Source organism: Homo sapiens, chromosome 2 (genome assembly GCF_000001405.40).
Source record: "Homo sapiens chromosome 2, GRCh38.p14 Primary Assembly".
In the NCBI taxonomy this organism is placed as follows: domain Eukaryota; kingdom Metazoa; phylum Chordata; class Mammalia; order Primates; family Hominidae; genus Homo; species Homo sapiens.
Window position 1 is genome coordinate 11239424 of NC_000002.12, and position 21516 is coordinate 11260939.

General features: G+C 37.4%; 1 protein-coding gene across 6 annotated transcripts in view, besides 1 other annotated feature; it reads right to left on the bottom strand.

The window, feature by feature from the left end:
* The window catches only part of ROCK2 (Rho associated coiled-coil containing protein kinase 2), a 165679-nt gene that overhangs the window by 59665 nt on the left and 84498 nt on the right, over positions 1–21516 (bottom strand). For all 6 annotated transcript variants that reach the window (NM_001321643.2, XM_011510417.3, NM_004850.5 and 3 more), the window contains exon 4: positions 10238–10375. In NM_001321643.2, coding sequence (NP_001308572.1) covers positions 10238–10375 — 138 coding nt within the window. The remainder of the gene's footprint in view (positions 1–10237; positions 10376–21516) is intronic.
* Positions 17858–18377: an enhancer, noted in NCBI's record as "H3K4me1 hESC enhancer chr2:11397407-11397926 (GRCh37/hg19 assembly coordinates)". NCBI's record gives its function as "activates a minimal SCP1, AML or CMV promoter by ChIP-STARR-seq in primed H9 embryonic stem cells {active_cell/tissue: H9 hESC(primed)}" and the evidence as "EXISTENCE:reporter gene assay evidence [ECO:0000049][PMID:30033119]".

Consider the following 21516-nt stretch of genomic DNA (forward strand, 5'->3'; position numbering starts at 1 on the left):
GAGAATGCAAAATGGCACAACCATTTTGGAAAGCAGTTTGATAATGTCTTACAAAGTTAAACATAAATGTAGCAAACAATCAAGGATTCCACGCCTATGTACCTACCTAAAAGAAATGAAATATATCTGCCAAAGACTAATAAGCAAATATTCATATCGGCATTATTCATTATTCATAATGGCCAAAAAGTGGAAGCAATTCAAATGTCCATTAACCGGTAAATGAGCAAATAACATGGAGTACATCTGTATACCGTTTCCACCCCAACTGGGTGTTCTGCAATGCAATTCTGACATTAACCAACAAGGCTTGGTATGAGATCCCACAAGTGAAGAGCTCAGTCTTCTACAAAATTTCCCTCACTTCAGAAATCAGCTGCACTTTGGGGATCCCCAGGTTCCCTATATTTTGGACTTACTGGCTACAAATTCAGGGGTTCCCACAACCTCCTCAGGCTTAACAATTTACTAGGATGACTCACAGAACTCAGCACAGTGCTATATTTATGATTACAGTTTTATTATAAAGGATGCACACAGGACAAAGTGTGGAACAGATTACAGAGCTTCTCCACCCTGTCTGTGTAGAATAAAAGTGCATTTCTCTCCTGGCACCAGAACATCAATGTGTTCACCAACCAGTAAGCTCCACTGAGTGTCAGTATCCAGAGTTTCTATAAGGGCCCCATTACACAGACATGATTAATTAAATCACTGGCCGAATGATTAAACTCAATCTCTAATCCTCCCCCAATACCTCCTTCTCCCTCTCCCGGGAGGTCTGGCAGCTAAAAGCCTTAATCTTCTAATCATGTGTTTGGTCTTTTGTAGCGGTCAGCCCTCATCCTGAAGCTATCAGAAGGACACGTGAGTCACCTCACTGGTGTAACAAAGACACTCCTATCACTCAGGAAATTCCAGGGCTTTTGAAGCTCTGTGCCAGAAATGGCAACAAAGACTAGATATATTATTTATTATAACACACCATACAATGGAATACTATTCAGCACTAAAAAGGGATGAAGTATAACAAACGTTACAATGTGGATGAACCTTAAAAACAGTATGCTAAGGAAAAAGTACCAGATGTAAAAGATAACATATTGTATGATTCCATTTATAAGACCTGTCTAGAAAAAGCAAACCTACAGGGACAGAAAGCACATTAATGGTTGCCTGGGGCTCAGAGGGTAATAGGAAATGTCATTGAAGGGTACAAGTGACCACTTTGGGATGGTGGAAATGCTCTAAAATCAGATGGTAGTGGTGGTTCCACAATGCTATAAATTTCCTAAAACTCACTAAAGCATACACTTCACGCAGGTGAATTTTATGCTATGCAAATTATACCTCATAAAGTTCTATTATAAAGTTGTCTTACAAAGGTATAAAAAGTTGCATACCTCAATAAAGTTGTATAGTTATTATACCTCAATAAAATTAATTTTGAAAACTTAAATGTGCATGTTAAAATGGTAAACACAGCCACTAGAACAACAGAAAAGAGATACCGTATATATTTTCCATCAGAGTAAAGACAACTCTAAATTTACCACAGCTCAACAACAACTTTCAAAGAATCAAGTTAATCCAGAAATAATAATGTAGTTTTATTTATAAGAGAGAAAAACTGGAAAAAACCTGAATGTCCATTAATAGATGAACAGATAAATTGTCACATCTCCCTACAAGGATATATGTAATAAAAGTAATCAAAAGGAATGAAATATTGATATACATCATGGATGAATCTCAAAACAATTTTGTGGAGTCAAATAAGCCAAATAGAATGGGACTGAAGTTAGAGCAGATACTGTAGAAGAGAAGATCCATGAACTTAAGGACATAGCAAAAAAACTATACAAAATGAAGCATGCAAAGAAAAAAAGACTGGTGGGAAAAAGAGTATCAGTTACCTATGGGACAACATCAAGCAGATTACACATGTGTAACTGAAGTCTGAGAAAGGGGATAGGGGCTTAGGAGACAGAAGCTGAGACAGAAAAAACATTTAAAGAGATAATGGCCTAACTACCTCCAAGTTTGATGAACTCTATAAACCCATAATTCTAAGAAACTCCAATAAATACCAAGCAAGGTAAGCCAAGCTAATTAAAGTATTGTGTTACTGGTGGCAAGAACAGATAAATGATGCAGTGAGACACAGAACCCCAAAACAGATCTATGCACAGATGGATAAATGCATGACAACATAAGGAGTTAACATACACCAGTGGGGAACAGAAAGTTTTGTCAATATGTAATGTTGGAACAACTGAATATCCATATGGAAACACGTAAAATTGAATACTTAAGTAACACTATTAAAAAATCCATTCTGGGCTGATCATAGGTGCTATGGTCTGAATGTTTTGTGTTCCCTCAAAATTCATATGAAATCTTAATGACGGTATAACACCGTCATCCTAAGGTGATGGTATTAGGAGAAGGGGCTTTTGGGAAAATGAGTAGGTCATGGAGGTCACTTGAGCCACCTTGTTAGCATAACATGAAGTCAGCCATCATAAATGGGTTTACTGCCCTTGTAAAATAGGCCCAAGGGAGCTTATTCACCCCCTTCTACTGTGTGAGGACACAGAGACAAGGTGCCATATATAACAAAGTGGATTCTCACCAGACAACAAATCTGCCAGGACTTTGATCTTGGACTTCCCAGCATCCAGAACTTTGGGAAATAAATTTCTGTTGTTTATAAGCTACCTGGTTCATAGTATTTTGTTATAGGAGCCCTAATGGACCATGATAGGACAGATTAATAGGGAAAAAATAAAAGTCAGAAAGGTAACATAGCACAATATCTTCATGCTCTCAAGGTAGGGACAAATTTTACTGAACACAAAAGGCCATTAACCATAAAAGTTTGATTAAACTTTTACTGCATTAAAATTATGAATTACTATTCATCAAAACATACTATAAAAGGAGTCAGAAGTCAAGCCGCACAGAGGGTATCAGAGCTCAGAAAGGGAAGGAGGACCATTCACGTGTGAGGATGGGTGCCATGGGATACCAAAGCCCAAGTGAGAGAGGAGGGACGGGATTCTACCCCTACCTTGACCTTCCTTCCAGATGATGGCTGGAATTTGAGGAAACCAAGATAAGCAGAATCCCACCCTAAATCTTATCAAGTGCCACACTCACTGAAGTATGATCTTGAAGAAACTAAAATACACAGCATCCCACCTTAAATCTTACTCAAGGGAGTTAATCCTATCGCCCATATGTGCATAAGACCAGAAGAATGGCTAATCTCCACCCCTTGCCTCCTTACAATACTAAACTCCCCACCCAGGGAGGAGCTTATTCACCATTTTGTTATCATGCCATGTGTGTACTACCATGATTTCTCACTGCGCCTGCACACCTTGTGCTCCACCCTGCACATGTAATGACATTCAAGTATCTCATGCTTATTTATGTCATCATGGTTCTTAAAACAACAAAAAGACCTGTCCTCAGGGAGCCAGCTGGAGAACTCTCTCTCTAGTGCTCTCCTTTGTGTTCTAACATCAGCCATGAATAAAGCCTTGTCTGGGACACTTTCTTGCCTCATTTCACTTTCTAGTGCCTGGGACCCTAGGAACCTGTGGTTGGTAACACAAACAGGGTCCAAAGGACATCCAAGCAAAGGGGCAGCCTAGTGGGGGATATAACAGCCAAAAAGGTTGAGGAGTCAAGGGAAGACTGAGGAAATGTTCAAAACTGAAAGAAAATAAATGTGATGTGGTTTGAAACTGGATCCTCCTGCTATAAAAGACATTACTGGGACAACTGGTGAAAACCTGATTGGGATCTGAATATTAATCAGTAATGTATCAATGTTAATTTCCTCATTTTGCAGCAGCATTTTTGGCCCAAATGTAAGCGCAATGGAAATATCCATATTTCAAAATCTATTTGAACTTTCCAATCAAGGGGCTTCTTCTATCTAATCTTCAATTAGAAATGATTAACCTGTAACTATCAAAAGAAGAATTTTAAAATTTTCTGAAAACGCCTTCTCCAAGTGATAAATATGGTAAATCAAAATTATATGCTTGAGGTCAACATTAACAGTCATAAATAATGTATTAGTATGTACTCCTGATATGACAGCATGAAAATGGCACTTTAACTCTGCAGTCTTTCTCCCAAAAACCCATAACCCTAGTATAATTAATAAGAAAAACATCAGACAAATTCCTACAGAGGAGCATCCACATCCTACAGTATAATTCATGTACTCCTCCAAACTGTCAAGGTCATCAAAAACAAGGAAAGTATGAGAAACTGTCACAGCCAAGAAGAGCCCAGGAAGACACGATAACTAAATGTAATGTGGCATTCTGGATGGGATCCTGAAACAAAGAACATAGGTAAAAATTTTAAAAATCTAAATAAAGACTTCAGTTTAATGTATCAATACTGGTTCATTCATACATTTGTAATAACAGGGAAAACTGTATTGGGGATAGATAGGAACTCTATACTGTCTGCTCAATTTTTCTATAAATCTACAACTTTAAAAAACAATCATACGTTAGTGGATAATTATAGTACGTGGCAATACCTAGCTGTGTGAAAGGACATTTTCACAGATGAACATGTAAAATATTTTTACACACCAGCATTAACAGATGAGTATTTGCACTTAATTTTGATGATAGGAAACACTAATTGTGGACCCCAGTTGAGCAAACATTCAGAAAAGAATTTCATTCTTGTCATTAGTAGACCTGTATTTTTAAAATTGTATTTATTATCTCTTGAATTTTATCAATAAAAACTGTGCAGAAATTTGTTTCCTCATTATATAAATACTTATGTAATATCTTCAACTTTGCCTCTTAGGTTGCAAAGCCTAAATATTTACCATCTGGCCCTTTACCAAAAAATGTTTGCAATTCCTGGCATAAATGAAATGAGATTGGCCATGGTTGGTAATTGTTGAAGCTGGGTGAACTGTACATGGGGATTCAATATACTTTTTTCTTCTACTTTGGGATATATTTGAAATTTATCATAATACATTTTTAAAATGGAAAAATGTATCATTAGGCTGGGTGCAGTGGCTCATGTCTATAATAATCCCAGTGCTTTGGTAAGCAGAGATAGGAGGAATGCTTGAGGCCAGGAGTTCGAGACCAGCCTGGGCAACATAGTGAGACCCCAATCTTTACCAAAGATGAGCCAGGGCATGGTGGTACATGCCTGCAGTACCAGCTACTTGGGAAACTGAGGTGAGAGGATTGTTTGTGCCCAGGAGTTTGAGGGTGCAGTGAGCCATGACCTTGCCACTGTACTAAATACAGCCTGGGCAACAGAGTGAGATCCTGTCTCTAGAAAAAAGAAAAAAAAAAGAATTTTTTTCTAGAAAGCTTTGCAAGTAAGTTCATTCAAGCCTCATGAAATGAATAGTTTATATTTTATATAAACTGTATCAAAGCACAGAAAAAAGTAGTATGCTTCCCTATTATGTCTATTAGAGTAGTCTTACCGTAATAAGAAAACCAAGAGCCCATGTTTAAATAATTAAATTAAATTAAAGGTCAAATCTCATTATGCACATAGATGCAAAACTACTTAACAAAATATTAGTAAATCAAATTCAGTATCCCACTTTTAAAAATCACATTATTGCAAATAGCATTTACTTTAAATTTTACACTACTTTGAAATCTTTTTCAGTGCACTATAAAAGATTAGCATATTTCATTTGCTTACTAATTTATATTCCTTATACATTAGCAATGAAATTTATATTCCTTATACTTTGCTTGATGTATAAAATATAAATTATATTATAAATCATGTATTATTTATAAAATTATATTATAAATTTATAAAAATATAAATTATATTTTAGGCTTAATGTATAAGGAATATAAATTATTAATAAGCATATGAAAGATGCTGAATCTCGTAAGTAATCAAGGAAGTACAACTTAACACAGTTAACACCTTATTTCTCAAGCATGCAACTAGTAAAAATTTAAAATAGTTACAATATCAAGTATTTGCTAAAACTGTGGTGAAAGAGAACATCTATTGTACAAAGATAATGTAAACTTGTAAAGAAAAATTTTTTAACAAAGCAATCTGGTGCTATCAATCAAAATGTCAAATGTGCATACCATCTGACCTAGCAATCCCAATGCTAGGAATCTATTGTAAAGAAAAACTCACACATGTATAAAAGACAGACCTACAAGCACAGTTAATTACACATCAAGAGCAGCAAATGTTTAAGATAGGTCTGGAGCACCCTGTTACATCACATTGCAAGCAAGCTATCAAAGATTATTAAGGCTTCGTTAAAGGTTTCAGAAACCAACCTCATTCTGATCCCACTGGTCAAAGGTACCACAATTTGAGCATCAATAAGATATTCAAAGGACTGAAACATATCACACAGGTTTTAAGTCCATGAGTTCAAACTGATTCTCCCCCAAAATTGGTCACCCTTATTTTGAAAACTGGTAAATACAATAAAAGAATAAAGCATTTATCCTGTCCTTCCAGTGTGAACTGCACCCTGAGTAACTTAACAAGTAAACAGAGAAATATTTTTCTTCACAGAAGTATTCCAGTCACTATAACCAAGGAGGAATGATTGAACTGAAGTATCATTTGACAAATCTTAATAAATGATATATCAAGACACTGAGCACAAATAGCTGGTAACACACCAGATAACCAGACATTAGTCTTCTTATAGGTGGCCTATGAACCTGGCCTATGAAGTAGTCCTATACCGTCCCCTTCCAAAGTGGAACCTGAATCTGATCAAGCCTCTATATCTAACAACCAATTTACAAAAATACAAGTGAGAGAGAAACATGTTAAACTACACCACAAGAAGAGATCAGCAAAATCTAGGTTTCTTCAACCTGGGGACAAAAGTAAATGAAAGAAGAGGGAAACTCTCTACATTGAGAGATTTAAAAGATATACCTGAACTTAAATTTTTTTTTAATGCCAAAACTAAACTAAGGTGTTTAGGGGTACACATCTGGGTGATAAAACTACAAAGGAAAGCAAGGAAGCATTTGCCATAAAAATAACAACACTAGAAAAACACAGCAAACTGGATATATAAATGGCTTTAAAAAGACAAAGTCCTCTCTACCCGCAAATGAATAAAAGTTTTTAAAATATGTCAATATTTATCTATTGAATTCAGAAATCACCCTAATAATATATTTCTAAGAAATACAGATAGGCCCAAGATTTAACCTATTACTGTGGCTAATTTATATTAACAAAAATGAAAAGTGATATTTCTAACAAAAGTATAGTAACTGTGGGGGTATTAATACAATTAAATATTTAATAGTCATTTAAAAATAAGAGCTGAGATTTGGAAAACTGAAATAGTCCAATAAAATTAATTATAGGCATATCCAATGACTCATTAATTTCACTGCAATGTAGATTCCTAAAAGAAATGTGTGAACATATGTACCAAAATCCTTATGAAAGAACACTCAAAGCAGCATTATTCATTATAGTCAAAAAGGAGAAACAACACAAATGTCCATTAAGTGATGAATGAACGAAGTGTGGTACAACCATGTAACAGAATACTATTTAACCATAATAAGAAATTAAGTGTTGATACATGCTATAACATGAATGAATGAATGTCAAAACATTAGGCTAGGTGAAAGATGTCACAAAAGACATACATACATGTTGTGTGATTGATTTATAGGAAGCTTTCAGAATAGGCAAATCCATAAAGACATAAAATAGAATAGCAGTTGGCAGGGGCAGGGGGGCAGGTGGAATTGGGGGAATAAATGCTAATTGGTCCAGGGCTTCTTTGGAGGGTGAGAAAAATGTCCTAAAATTAGGTAATGGTGATGGTTGTACAACTCTGTGAAAATATTCAAAATCATTGAATAAAACAATAAATAAAAATAAGTCAGTCACTTTGACAAGTTTTCACAAAAGGTCAAACATTTTATACACATAAATATAATGGTGCATGGAATGTTGTTCTTTACCCAGAGAGATAAGCATATAAAGGCCACAATTATAATCGGATTTACTTTTTCAATTGTACTATGTTTCACTATTGGTTTGCTCCCTCAGATCCATTATCTCAATTACTTCAATAATCAGCAGATTTTCTTCTATCTCAATTAACACTTTATAAAGGTTCACATAGCAGAATTAAAGATCAAAGAATATCAATTTATGAAATAACCAGAAATGGCAATCCGCTACTATGAAAGCAATTTAAAGCTAAAAGTGAAACAAATACTTTACTGCAATCATTCTTTAATCAGATAAATTATCATGGTATGCAGGCCAGGCGCAGAGGCTCATGCCTGTAATCCCAGCACTTTGGGGGGCCAAGGCAGGCAGATCACTTGAGGTCAGGAGTTCGAGACCAGCCTGGCCAACATGGTGAGACCCCGTCTCTCTACTAAAAATACAAAAATTAACCAGGTGTGGTAGTGAGGACCTGTAATCCCAGCTACTCGGGAGGCTGAGGCAGGAGAATCGCTTGAATCCAGGAGGTGGAGGTTGCAATGAGCGAAGATCACGCCACTGAACTCCAGCCTGGGTGACAGAGGGAGACTCCGTCTCAAGGGAAAAAAAAAAATTATCATGGTATAGAATTTACCATAGAAGTTTTAGTTTCACTGTACATATCAGAATTTCTATTCACTGCCTACAATTTAAATAAAAAGTGGGGGAGGGAGCAGGAATGAGGATCAATCTTATAAAAAAGCAACATTAATGAGCTTCTAAATAACATGGTCAAAAGTGGGTTTTTTTTGGGGGGGGATGGGGGGAGGGGAATCTGAACTGCCTTCCACAAGCAAGGTATCAAACTCCCAGATCATTTAAGCATTCTGAACAAGAACTGGTGTATACCTAATCTTACTCAGGACACTTGTTCAAAAATGTCTGCAGATTTACTTACTAGTATAAAAAAAATGTTTACAGAAGCAAAGCTAGTGAAGAAATATAATAGTAACGAAGGCAAAGGCCAGGTGCGGTGGCTCACATCTGTAATCCCAGCACTTCGGGAGGCTAAGGCAGGCACATCACTTGAGGTCAGCAGTTCAAGACCAGCCTGGCCAACATGGCAAAAACCCCATCTCTACTAAAAATGCAAAAATTAGCCAGGCATGGTGGCAGATGCCTGTAGTCCCAGCTATTCGAGAGACTGAGGCAGGAGAACCGCTTGAACCCGGGAAGCAGAGGATGGAATGAACAGAGATTCCAACACTGCACTCCAGCCTGAGCAACAGAGCAAGACTTCATCTCAAAAAAAAAAAAAAAAAAAAAAAAAAAAAAGAAAGAATGAAGGCAAAGCAGAACCATAAATTCCTTAACCCACAGTCAAATAAAAGGCAAAATTAGGAGCCACAATATTGTAGAATTTTCTAAATGTTTATTGTAGGAAGTTTTTTGTTGTTTTTTTTCTTTTCAAGATAGGCTGATTAATGTAACATAAGCTTCTTTTTTTGTTTTAGACGGAGTCTTGCTCTGTTGCCAGGCTGGAGTGCAGTGGTACAATCTCGGCTCACTGCAACCTCTGCCTCCCAGGTTCAAGCGATTCTCCTGCCTCAGCCTCCCAAGTAGCTGGGATTACAGGTGTGTGCCACTATGCCCGGCTAATTTTTTTGTATTTTTAGTAGAGACAGGGTTTCATTGTGTTAGCCACGATGGTCTCAATCTCCTGACCTCGTGATCCACCTGCCTTGGCCTCCCAAAGTGCTGGGATTACAGGTGTGAGCCACTGCGCCTGGCCACACAAACTTTTTATTTTTTTAATGATTATACTTTAAGTTCTAGAGTACATGTGCACAACGTGCAGGTCTGTTACATATGTACACATGTGCCATGTTGGAATATTAATATGTATATATCCTTCCAGATGATTCAATGAATTTACTATGTTCCTACTATGTAAATCACAAGAATAAGTGGGTATGAAACAATGGCATACTGGTATTCAAGCCAATTCTTTATCAAGAAGAAAAAGCTGCAAGTAATACTTGCTTCCATACAACAATTTAAGTAAGTATTACATGTCATATCTATGTGGACATACTGTTTTGGAACATTAAACAAATGTTTTGAATCAAATCTCCTAAAAATAACTGCACTGTTACCATGTAAATGAAGCATAAGACTTGGCACACAAAAATCAACTCATGAATAATAAAGCACTCATAAAAAAAGGAAATAAACTTATAAAAGTTAGTATGCTTACCTGAACCACCCAGGGGCTATTGGCAAAGGCCATAATATCTCTTTCTTCCCAAAAAAAGGCAGAATCTGATCTTTTTATCATTTCAAACTTACTAAGAAGCTTCATAGCATAAACCTTCTGCGATGCCTTGTGACGAACCTGTTGATTTTTGAAAACACAAAAATTAATACTTTCATGTTATGAGAGAAAGGTAAATAGATGATACTATAATGCTATTATTAAAGACTTCAGTTACAAAAAAATGGTCCTTAGCTAATAAAAAGTAAAAGCAAAACATTTTTAATGAAAGAAACAAAGGAGAACATTTCTAACAACCTAAGTATTTCATGAAATATGTAATACTTTTAAACACTAAATTCAATATACAACTCTCTCATTTCAACTAAATGAAGGTAAATTCGTGAAGCTTCATTCTCTCATATTAATTAAGCTAACCAACTTTAAGAATGAGATATTGTTAAATAAGAAACTTAAAATATATGTCTACTGAAAAAAAACCATTTATGTAAGTAGTCTGAAAGATCAATGTATACACATCCCTCACTATCTGCCCGTAAGAACCTAATAAATTTAGATATCAAGGGATACCTATGATTTTGTTAAGTCACTCTTATTTCTCTTTAGGTGCCCTAATTAAAGGGTTTTTTTGTTTGTTTGTGTTTTAGGAAAAAAATACTACCAATGATGAGGTCATTTGACCAATTTCTATGTTTCCAATTAGACTGCAAATTTCATAAAGGCAAGAAGATTGTCTATTTTTGACCACCCTTTTAATTCCAAGAACATAGCAAATTGTTCACCAGAGAGCCAATAAATATTTAATGAATGATTATAACAGTTAACATTTATTAGATAAGTAACAACTGCTAACACGAATACTTGGATGTCTAATAGGATGCCTAAAACTGAAACTCCTAATCTTCACCCGAATTTATTCCTCCCACAGTTATTCCCCGTTTCAGTAAATGGTAAAATGGTAGCTTCATCCTTCTAGTTGCTCTAGCTAAAAAAACCTCTGGCACCTCTTTTTCTCTCAAACAACTTATCAAATTTATCAGCAAATCCTGTCAGTTCTACCTTCAAGAAGTTTCAGAATCCAACCATTTCTAACTACCTCCACTGATACCACCCTGGTTCAACATATTTTATTTCAATTCCCAACTTGTTTCCCTGCTGTCACTCTCTCTTATCCACAGCCTAGTCATCCTTCTAGAATATAAACCATTTCCTGTCATTCCTCTGCTTAAAACCCCCTAACTACTTCCCATATCATCTCTGCATGTTCCCTCTGCCTGGAATCACCTCCTGTAGCTGGCTCAATCCCTCACTTCCTTAAATCCCTGTTCAAATCATACCTTCTCAATGAGGTCTACTCTGATCAATCTACTTAAACTTTCAGCTCACTATTCCCTTCTGCTGCCAGCATATTACATATTAGCTCACCATCCCCTTCTGCTGCCAGCATATTCCATATTCCATTCTCTGTGTCATGTTTTTGCTTCATCGTACTTATTACCATCTTACATCCCATTTTTAACTTATTTATCACCTATTTCTCAGCACCAGAATATAAACCCAATGAAGTCAAGGATTTCTGTGTTTGGTTCAATGTTTAATCCCCATTGCCTAGTATAATGTCTGGCACATAATAACCTTTCAATAAATATCTGCTGAAAGAACAGATTTACTAAGTACTTGGCATGTGCCAGGCACTGTGTGTTTTGATACATATATTATCTTACTTAATCTTCATTCCCAGTGAGGTATTATTTCCCCATACTACAAATGGGAAATCTGAGGCACAGAGACATCAAACTGCCCAAGGGCTATATAGATAGTAAGCAGAATTAACTCAAGATGGATTAGAGACTTAAATGTAAGACCTAAAACCATAAAAACTCTAGAAGAAAACCTAGGCAATACCATTCAGGACACAAGCATGGGCAAAGACTTCATGACAAAAACACCAAAAGGAATGGCAACAAAGCCAAAACTGACAAATAGGATCTAATTAAACTAAAGAGCTTCTGCACAACAAAAGAAACTATCATCAGAGTGAACAGGCAACCTACAGAATGGGAGAAAATTTTTGCAATCTATCCAGCTGACAAAGGGCTAATAACCAGAATCTACAAGGAACTTAAACAAATTTACAAGAAAAAAACAAACAACTCCATCAAAAAGTGGGCAAAGGATATGAACAGACACCTCTCAAAAGAAGACATTTATGCAGCCAACAAACATGAAAAAAAGCTCATCATCACTGGTCATTAGAGAAATGCAAATCAAAACCAGAATGAGATACCACCTCATGCCAGTTAGAATGGCAATCATTAAAAAGTCAGGAAACAATAGATGCTGGAGAGGATGTGGAGAAATAGAACACCTTTATGCTGTTGGTGGGAGCGTAAATTAGTTAAACCACTGTGGAAGACAGTGTGGCAACTGCTCAAGGATATAGAACCAGAGGCCAGGCATGGTGGCTCACGCCTGTAAACCCAGCACTTTGGGAGGCTGAGGTGGGTGGATCACCTGAAGTCAGGCGTTCGAGACCAGCCTGGCCAACATGGTGAAACCCCGTTTCTACCAAAAATACAAAAATTAGCTTGGCATGGTGGTGCACACCTGTAATCCCAGGTACCTGGGAGACTGAGGCAGGAGAATGGCTTGAACCCGGGTGGCTGAGGCTGCAGCCAGCCAAGATCACGCCATTGCACTCCAGCCTGGGTGAAAAAAAAAAAAAAGATCTAGAACCAGAAATACCATTTGACCCAGCAATCCCATTACTGGGTATATACCCAAAGGATTATAAATCATTCTACTATGAAGACACATGCACACGTATGTTTATTGCAGCACTGTTCACAACAGCAAAGACTTGGAACCAACACAAATGCCCATCAGTGATAGACTGGATAAACAAAATGTGGCACATATACACCATGGAATACTATGCAGCCATAAAAAAGGATGAGTTCATGTCCTCTGCAGGGACATGGATGAAGCTGGAAACCATCACTCTCAGCAAATTAACACAGGAACAGAAAACCAAACACCGCAGGTTCCCACTCATAAGTGGGAGTTGAACAATGAGAACACGTGGACACAGGGAGTGGAACATCACACACCAGTGCCTGTCACGGGGTGAGGGGCTAGAGGAGGGATAGCATTAGGAGAAATGTAGATGACAGGTTGATGGGTGCAGCAAACCACCATGGCACACGTATACCTATGTAACAAACCTGCACGTTCCGTGCATGTATCCCAGAACTTAAAAGTATAATAATAATAATAATAATAATAATAATAATAATAATAATAATATTTAAAGGTAATCTGCAGGCAGAATCTATACTATTTCTACATATGTTATGTACACAATTAGGATGATTTTACCAAACAGGGCTAGATTACATCTGTCCACCCAGTATTCCATCCAGTTGGTGCTCCTTTTTACTCAGAGTATGCCAGTTTTTGTACAACAAATTATATAGTTACCCTATTCAGCGATGGAAGAAAGAAGAAGAAATCAAGCACCTTACCATTGTCTACAGGGTCCTAAATGATCTAGCCTATGTCCACCTTCCCGACTTAAATCTTGTCATTTTCTTCCCATTGTTCATACTTCAGACACACTTATCTTCTCTCAGTTCCTCTAATATAACGAAACTTTCCTCAGGATCTTTATGGGTACTGGAAAGGTATTTAAAAACCCATCATAGTACCTAATTCAACCTCTCCCATAAGGACACTACCTCCTTATCCATTCAGTTTAAATATAAAACTCCTCAAAGAGGTCTTCTCTGACCACCCTAACTGAACTAAGAACTCACTGTTCTCAACCATAGAACCCTATTTGTTTTCTTCCTGGTAGGTATCATAATTTGTAATTTTTGATGTTGTTTCTTTGTATTTATTGCCTGTCTCCCATAGTGGAATGTAAATTCAACAAGGATGGGGATTATGCATGCCTATTTTGTTCTCCATTATATCCCTAGTGCCAAGTACAATGCCAGCAATGGCAATAAAACAGGCACTCACTAAATATTTAATGACTCAATTAATATCTGCAAAAATTTATTTTAAAAGTGGCCACACCATCAATTTCCAGTTTTAAAAAAGATTCAGCAGCTAATATTTCTAGCTATCTTTTGTCAAATACTATCCACATGTACAGCTAATACTTATATTGATGAAAATAAGGTAAACCAAAGATATGCTGGTGTCTTCCCCAGAGCAGACAGGGAAGAACCATGACACTTATCAGATACTCTATAAAATGCAATAAAATTTTAGAAAATCATAAAATGCTACGCCTCTTTAATAGAGAAAGTTTTGCTCCCCCTCCAATAAAAGCCAGGTACAAAATTTTATTAGGGGAGTGGGTTTGAACAAATCACTAATGGAAAATACAAATAAGTCCCAGCATGACACAATACATTTGTATACTTATTACTCAGAATCATGCACTTCTGGCTATGATGAAGTAATTGGTACCAGCTAGCCCTCCCATTGTAAACAACCATCAAAAATGACAAAACACACAAGGCAACCGTATTCAGGTTTCGTAAAATAAACACAAGACTGTAATTCCTGAGAGAAGAGAAACTCACCAAGTCAACCCCATAATTGCCCAGAAACTCTGATAAAAGTCAATATTGCAACCAGTGTGCAGCATATAATTGCATGTTTCTGCTGAGTTGAGGAGGCAGAGATCAGAGTTTAAGACAAATGAAGCAGCTAAATTATTCTGGGCAGGACACTGGAAAGCAAGGAGAGGGAGATCCCTAGAAGTCACATGTGTGTACTTGGCTAAAGGCTGGGCTACCCAGAGAGAAAGCAGTCCAGGTTTATTAGAGACCAACTGCTTTGGGGTTATGGTAAAACATAAACACTGGAGGTTAAGTGGCATTGGAAGAACACAGGATTTCCAGACAAGCAAAAGTAGAGAAGGGCAGGTGTGGTGGCTCACGCCTGTAATCCCAGCACTTTGGGAAGCTGAGGCAGGAGGACTGCTTAAGCCCAAGAGTTTGAGACAGCCTAGGCAACAGTGAGACCCTGTCTCTTAAAAAAAAAAAAAAAAAAAAAAAAAAAAAGGTAGAGAAACCTGGCTAATTTCTTGGTCGTTCAGCTGACACATCTTATGAAAAAGAACCAGGCTCTAAAGTAAGACCTACTCTAGCACAAACCTAACAAAACCTAACATTAAACCCTAAAAGATCCAAAGGGAAACACAGTTTGGAGGTTGTACCCTACAAATTTAAAAGAACTTGGGGGCCGGGCGCAGTGGCTCACGCCTGTAATCCCTGCACTTTGGGAGGCTGAGGCGGGCAGATCATGAGGTCAGGAGATTGAGACCATCCTGGCTAACACGGTGAAACCCCGTCTGTACTAAAAATACAAAAAATTAGCCAGGCATGGTGGCGGGCACCTGTAGTCCCAGCTACTTGGGAGGCTGAGGCAGGAGAATGGCATGAACCCAGGAGGCGGAGCTTGCAGTGAGCGGAGATTGCGCCACTGCACTCCAGCCTGGGGGAAAGAGCGAGACCCCATCTCAAAAAAAAAAAAAAAAAAAAACTTGGGAAACATCTTGATCTTTCCACACATCTACATTTACAAAGTATAAAACAGCCTGCAAGAGTTAAGGATGAACAGCAAGTAACTGGACAGCCTATCAGAATGAAAATCAATAGTATTCAAAGAAAAATAACAAAACCCCAGAGTCTCTACCATACATCCACAAGGTACAGTATATAATTTAAAAATTACTAGATAGGCAAAAAGGAAAATGCGACTCATCATCAAGAAAAAAGCAGTCAATAGAAAATGGCCCCAAAAGATGTTAGATTCAACTGACAAATACTTAAAAATAGCTCTTATAAATATGTTCAAAGAACTAAGGGAAAATATATTAAAGAAATAAAATATAGTCTTAATGAGTGAATAGAAGTAAATATCAACAGAAAAATGGAAACTAGGCCGGGTGCAGTGGCTCACACCTGTGATCCCAGCACTTTGGGAGGCTGAGGTGAGCGGATCACTTGAGGTCAGGAGTTCGAGACCAGCCTGGCCAACATGGTGAAACCCCGTCTCTACTAAAAATACAAAAATTAGCCAGGCATGGTGGCATGTGCCTGTAATCTCAGCTACTCGGGAGGCTGAGGCAGGGGAATTGCTTAAACCTGGGAGGCAGGGGTTGCAGTGAGCCGAGATGGTGCCACTGCACTCCATGCACTCCAGTCTGGATGAGAGAGTATGACTCCATCTCAAAAAAAAAAAAAAAAAAAAAAAAAAGGAAACTATATGGAAGTCAGTGAACTTCAACACAAATCAATCTGAAAAATAAAGACAAAATGAATAAATGAAACTGAAGAGACTCAGGGGATTCCAATACCATTTTAAACAGTCTAAAATATGTGTAATTATAAATGGATTAAATACTCCAATTAATAAACATAAATTATAAAAACTGATTAAAAAGCAATTATAGTTCACATACTTATATATAATAATTATATATTGATATGGTTTGGATTTGTGCCCCCACCCAAATTTCAGGTCAAATTGTAATTCCCAGTGTTGGAGGGAAGGGCCTAGTGGGAGGTGACTGGATCACGGGGAGGGACTTCCCCCTTGTTGTTCTCCTGATAGTGAGTTCTCATGAGATCTGGTTGTTAAAAGTATATGGCATTCTCCCTCTTTGTTCTCGTCTTCCTTCTCTGGCCACGTAAGACGTGCTTGCTTCCCTTTCACCTTCTGCCATGATTGTAAATTTCCTGAGGCCTGCCCAGCCACGCTTCCTGTACGGCCTGCAGAACTGTGAGTCAATTAAACCTCTTTTATGAATTATCCAGTCTCTCAGGTAGTTCTTTACAGCAATGTGAGAACGGACTAATACATATATCTAATATACATATTATATATAAATATATACATAAGTTATATAGTTTAATTATGAGTTCAAATGAGTTGAAAACAAATGAATGGAGAAAGATCTACCATGCAAACTGCAAGGGTAAAAAAGTTGGTATATAAATAATAAAGCAGACTTCAAGGCAAAGAGTATTATAAGAGATAAGGTAATTTAGATAAAAGGGGTAATCCATTACGGAGGCATAACCATTCTAATTACGTATGCATCTTCAATAAATGAGCCTGAAAATTAATAACATAAAAACTAACAGGACTAAGAAAGAAACGGACAAATCTATACCTTCAGTTGGAAATATTAATACCCCATGGTCTTAGTTTAGGTTGTTCGGAGGTTGAATTACGCTCCAAGGTCACCCCGACCAAAATTTTTAATGCAGGGATAGTAGGCTAGGGACTCTCAGTATTTGATAGAACAAGCAAACAAAACATCAGTATGGATATAAAGAAAATATAGCCCAAAATAAAAACTGCCTAAACAAATTATAATTACAAAGATTATATTAATAGATTACATCACTTCTCATTTTAAAATATTTTGAAATTTGGGAGGTTAGCCTAGGCAGCTACAGTGGTGGAGGAGCAGGGGCTGGTATGCGCTGGGCAGCGAGAGCCTCATGGCGGAGGAAGACAGCGATCAAAAGGCCGAACGCCTCAGAGAAGAGCTTGTGGCCACTGTGGAGTCCCTGCTGGCCCTGTGGGGCTTAGAGCTGCGGGCGACGGCAGAGGCGGTGCTGGCAGCTGCAGTGGCGGCGTCACGATCAGCTGTCGGGGTTACTGCTGACGCTTCTGTCAGGTGGTTGAAGATTACGTTGGAAGATGGCAGGTCCCTTTGCCACAGCTTCAGGTTCTTCAGACTGTACTTTGTTGTTTTACAACAGCCAGTGCATCATTCCCAGATGAATGTGAGCACGTACAACATGTTTTGAGTAGCCTTGCTGTGAGTTTCTTCGAGTTGCTGCTGTTCTTTGGAAGAGGTGAGTTTTATGAAGAGCCCTTAAAGGATATTCTTGGATCATTCCAGGAATACCAGAATCACCTCCGCAGATATGGAAATGTGAATCTGGAACTGGTGACTCGAATCATTAGAGATGGCGGCCCATGGGAAGATCCAGTGTTGCAAGCTGTCCTTAAAGCTCAGCCAGCATCTCAGGAGATAGGTACTTTAGGAGATTCGAAATCAAACCAACATTTGTAATAAGCAAATACACTTTCATTTACTAACTAGAGCAGTAATAGTGATTTTTCTTCATTTTATAATACTGAATAATGGAGTGATGTATTCTCAAGTGAAAAGTGTTTGTTTTTCTAACCTGGCCCACAGTGATTTCTGACACCAGGTTTGGTACATTTATTTATCATAATAGAAATTCTGAGTGGTAACACATCTACCAGATGTTATTTACAGAAAGTGTATTTTTGTCACTTCAGTTATATTTTTAAAATCTGTTTAAGGAGGAACTTTTTTTTTTAAGAAACAAAAACTCTGCTTTTCATAAAAGCACATGGAATCTCCCTTCCCTTACACAGGAAACTCCATGAGGGCTGAAACTGAATTTTTGTCATACTACTGCATAGCCAGCCCAATGCTTGGTACAGAGTAGATGCTTAATATAATGACGACATGGTGAATGCATGAGTGAATAAGTGACTGACTGAATGAATAAATTCGAATTCCAAATACTCTAGAGCAGTATTTCCCAAACTTCATGCATTAGAAGTTTTGTCTCATACCCTTACTACCTGCGTATTTCTTTGATATCACCTGCTGTCCAATCTGATTTAACAGTGGTCCTTTGTAAGCCAAAATCTCCTTTCAAGGCAGGAGGCTTTGTCAACTGCTCTTAGTTAATTCTTTTTTAAAATGTTCCCCATATTATTCGTGAATCCCAGAACATTCTGAATCACCAAAACTGTAGAATGTAAGCTTAGCAACAGTGAATAAGCACAAAAGTGTAGAAAACATTTAAAAGTGTGGAGAGAGCCTATGGAGTTCAGTTATGAGACAGCCAAGGGGAAGAAAACAAGACCTCCCAATCCTGGAACCAGTTAGACCTTGGTTTGGTGAGAAAGACACTTCATACTACAGATTTTGTTGAGCAGGTTATTTCTGTTAGTCACGGGTTAAGGAGTTAGGGTGGGTTGTGAATGCAGTTGACTGGAGAAGGAGCTGTGATAGGATGGGAGGTAGGATAAGTCTAGGGCTAAGGTATATGTGAAAGTGTTATGAAGAACCCAAGGGGTAAAGAGGACACTGGTGTTTGATGTGTGGATCCTGGAAAGGGATTAAAAAAAAAAGAAAACTGAAAAGGGAAAGAGTTGGAGCTGAGGAGGAAGAGTTGGATTACTGAAGAAGTATGAAGAGTCAAATATAGGAAAGGCAAGGGTGACAGACTGGAGGAAATTATGAGGGGACTGCATGTGCCCAGAGGGGAAGGAGCTAGACAAAGAGCTTCAAGAGAAGTGAGGACAGGGGAAAAGAAAGTTTGAGCTTTTAAGGGAGATTTAGGCTTCACTACATAAAATCTAGAATAAACCTGTTGTTGGTTGGTCTGAGGGCTGATGGCCTTTTAGGCTGAGAATTACATTAAAATAATAAATATTCCTTTGATACCTACACTAGCATACCTCACACTTTGGGAAAAGCTGCTCTAGAGCCTCATTTAAATGGATGACTTTTCCCTAGTTGGTGATCACTAGGGTAAAGACCAGACTGAAGTATCTTTGCATTAACTATACAAATCAGTGTTTGCATATCATATACTGTAAATGGAACTGCAAGACAAATGTTTAAGCCAAAATAAAACATTCATAAGCACTCTGGAAGCTACCAATTAAGTGTAAGTAATTAAAATACTTCTGGATTCAAAATCATACAAATATGGGTTTCAGGTCCTGCTCTGCCACTTAATTCTTTCTCCTTGGGCAGGTCATTTGACCTCTCTGAGACTCAGTTTTGCAATCTATAAAGCTAGTATCATAATACCCATCATAAGGTTGTTGTTAGGTCTAAATAAGTTTATGTAGCTAACGGTGTTTATATATTTTTAAATTGTGTAAAAGTATTAATTAGTAATTATCCTTAGTGATACATAAATCTATACTAATAAGCAGTCCTATTTGGCACTACTTTTGGATTAATTTTATCTTTAAAATATACTTTTCTTGTAAAAAAAATTTTTTGAAATTTGAAGGATTGATATACAGTAACTGTATATAACAAGAATCCTAAATGCAAAGAGCCAAGTAAGTAATGACAAGAATCATGGCTTACATCCATCTTTTATATTAAATGACCAAGCTGGAGTAACAATTCCTTTGATTTGTATACTGTTGTAAAATTTATAGAATACTGAAAATAAATGCACAGGAAAGGACTATGAAAACACAGGTGGGGAGTGGGAATTTAAGGAATGAATTATCCTAGACTTGAAACTAGAAAACCCTCTTACAGCAGATAGACTAGATTTTCAACTGATTTGTGTTCAATTAGCAGGTTATCTCAAATAGTCATTCCAGCAATGTTGTTAAATATAGTTTAAAATATGTCAACAGTGTTAAAAAGAAGTTGCTTAGGCCGGGTGTGGTGGCTCACGCCTGTAATCCCAGCACTTTGGGAGGCTGAGGCAGGTGTATCATCTGAGGTCAGGAGTTCCAGACCAGTGTGGCCAACATGGCGAAACCCCATCTCTACTAAAAACACAAAAATTAGCTGGGTGTGGTGGCAGGTGCCTGTGATTCCAGCTACTCAGGAGGCTGAGGCAGGAGAATTGCTTGAACCTGGGAGGTAGAGGTTGCAGTGAGCTGAGATCACACCATTGCACTCCAGCCTGGGTGACAGAGCGAGACTCTGTCTCCAAAAAAAAAAAAAAAAAAAGGAGTTGTGCTAACATAGTCCTTCTTCTATATATATTTACACCACTCTTCAAATCTTCACTTACTTTAAGAACAAATCAAATTTTGAATGCTTCCTAACTTCATTAGAGAAAGCAATCCATACAACATTAAGAGCCAATTTTAATTTATACAGTATTATTACCTATGCTTGACTCAGAACATGACAAGAACAGTTTTTAAACTTCTGTTATAAAGATATCAACAGAAGCTAAAATATATTTGTCAGCTGGTAGAAAACAGTTAAATATTTAAACTAGCATTTACATATGAGATAACTAAACAGAAAAACAAATATACCTAGAAGGAAAAAGATATTCATTTATATAAAATAAAATCACACAAGATAGGCATAAGATGGCTTTTGAATATGAGAAAAATGCTGACTGACTTCACTTTTGGTGATTCTTCATGCAAAAATGCTCCCCTCTATGTGTTTCCATAGCACTTAAAAT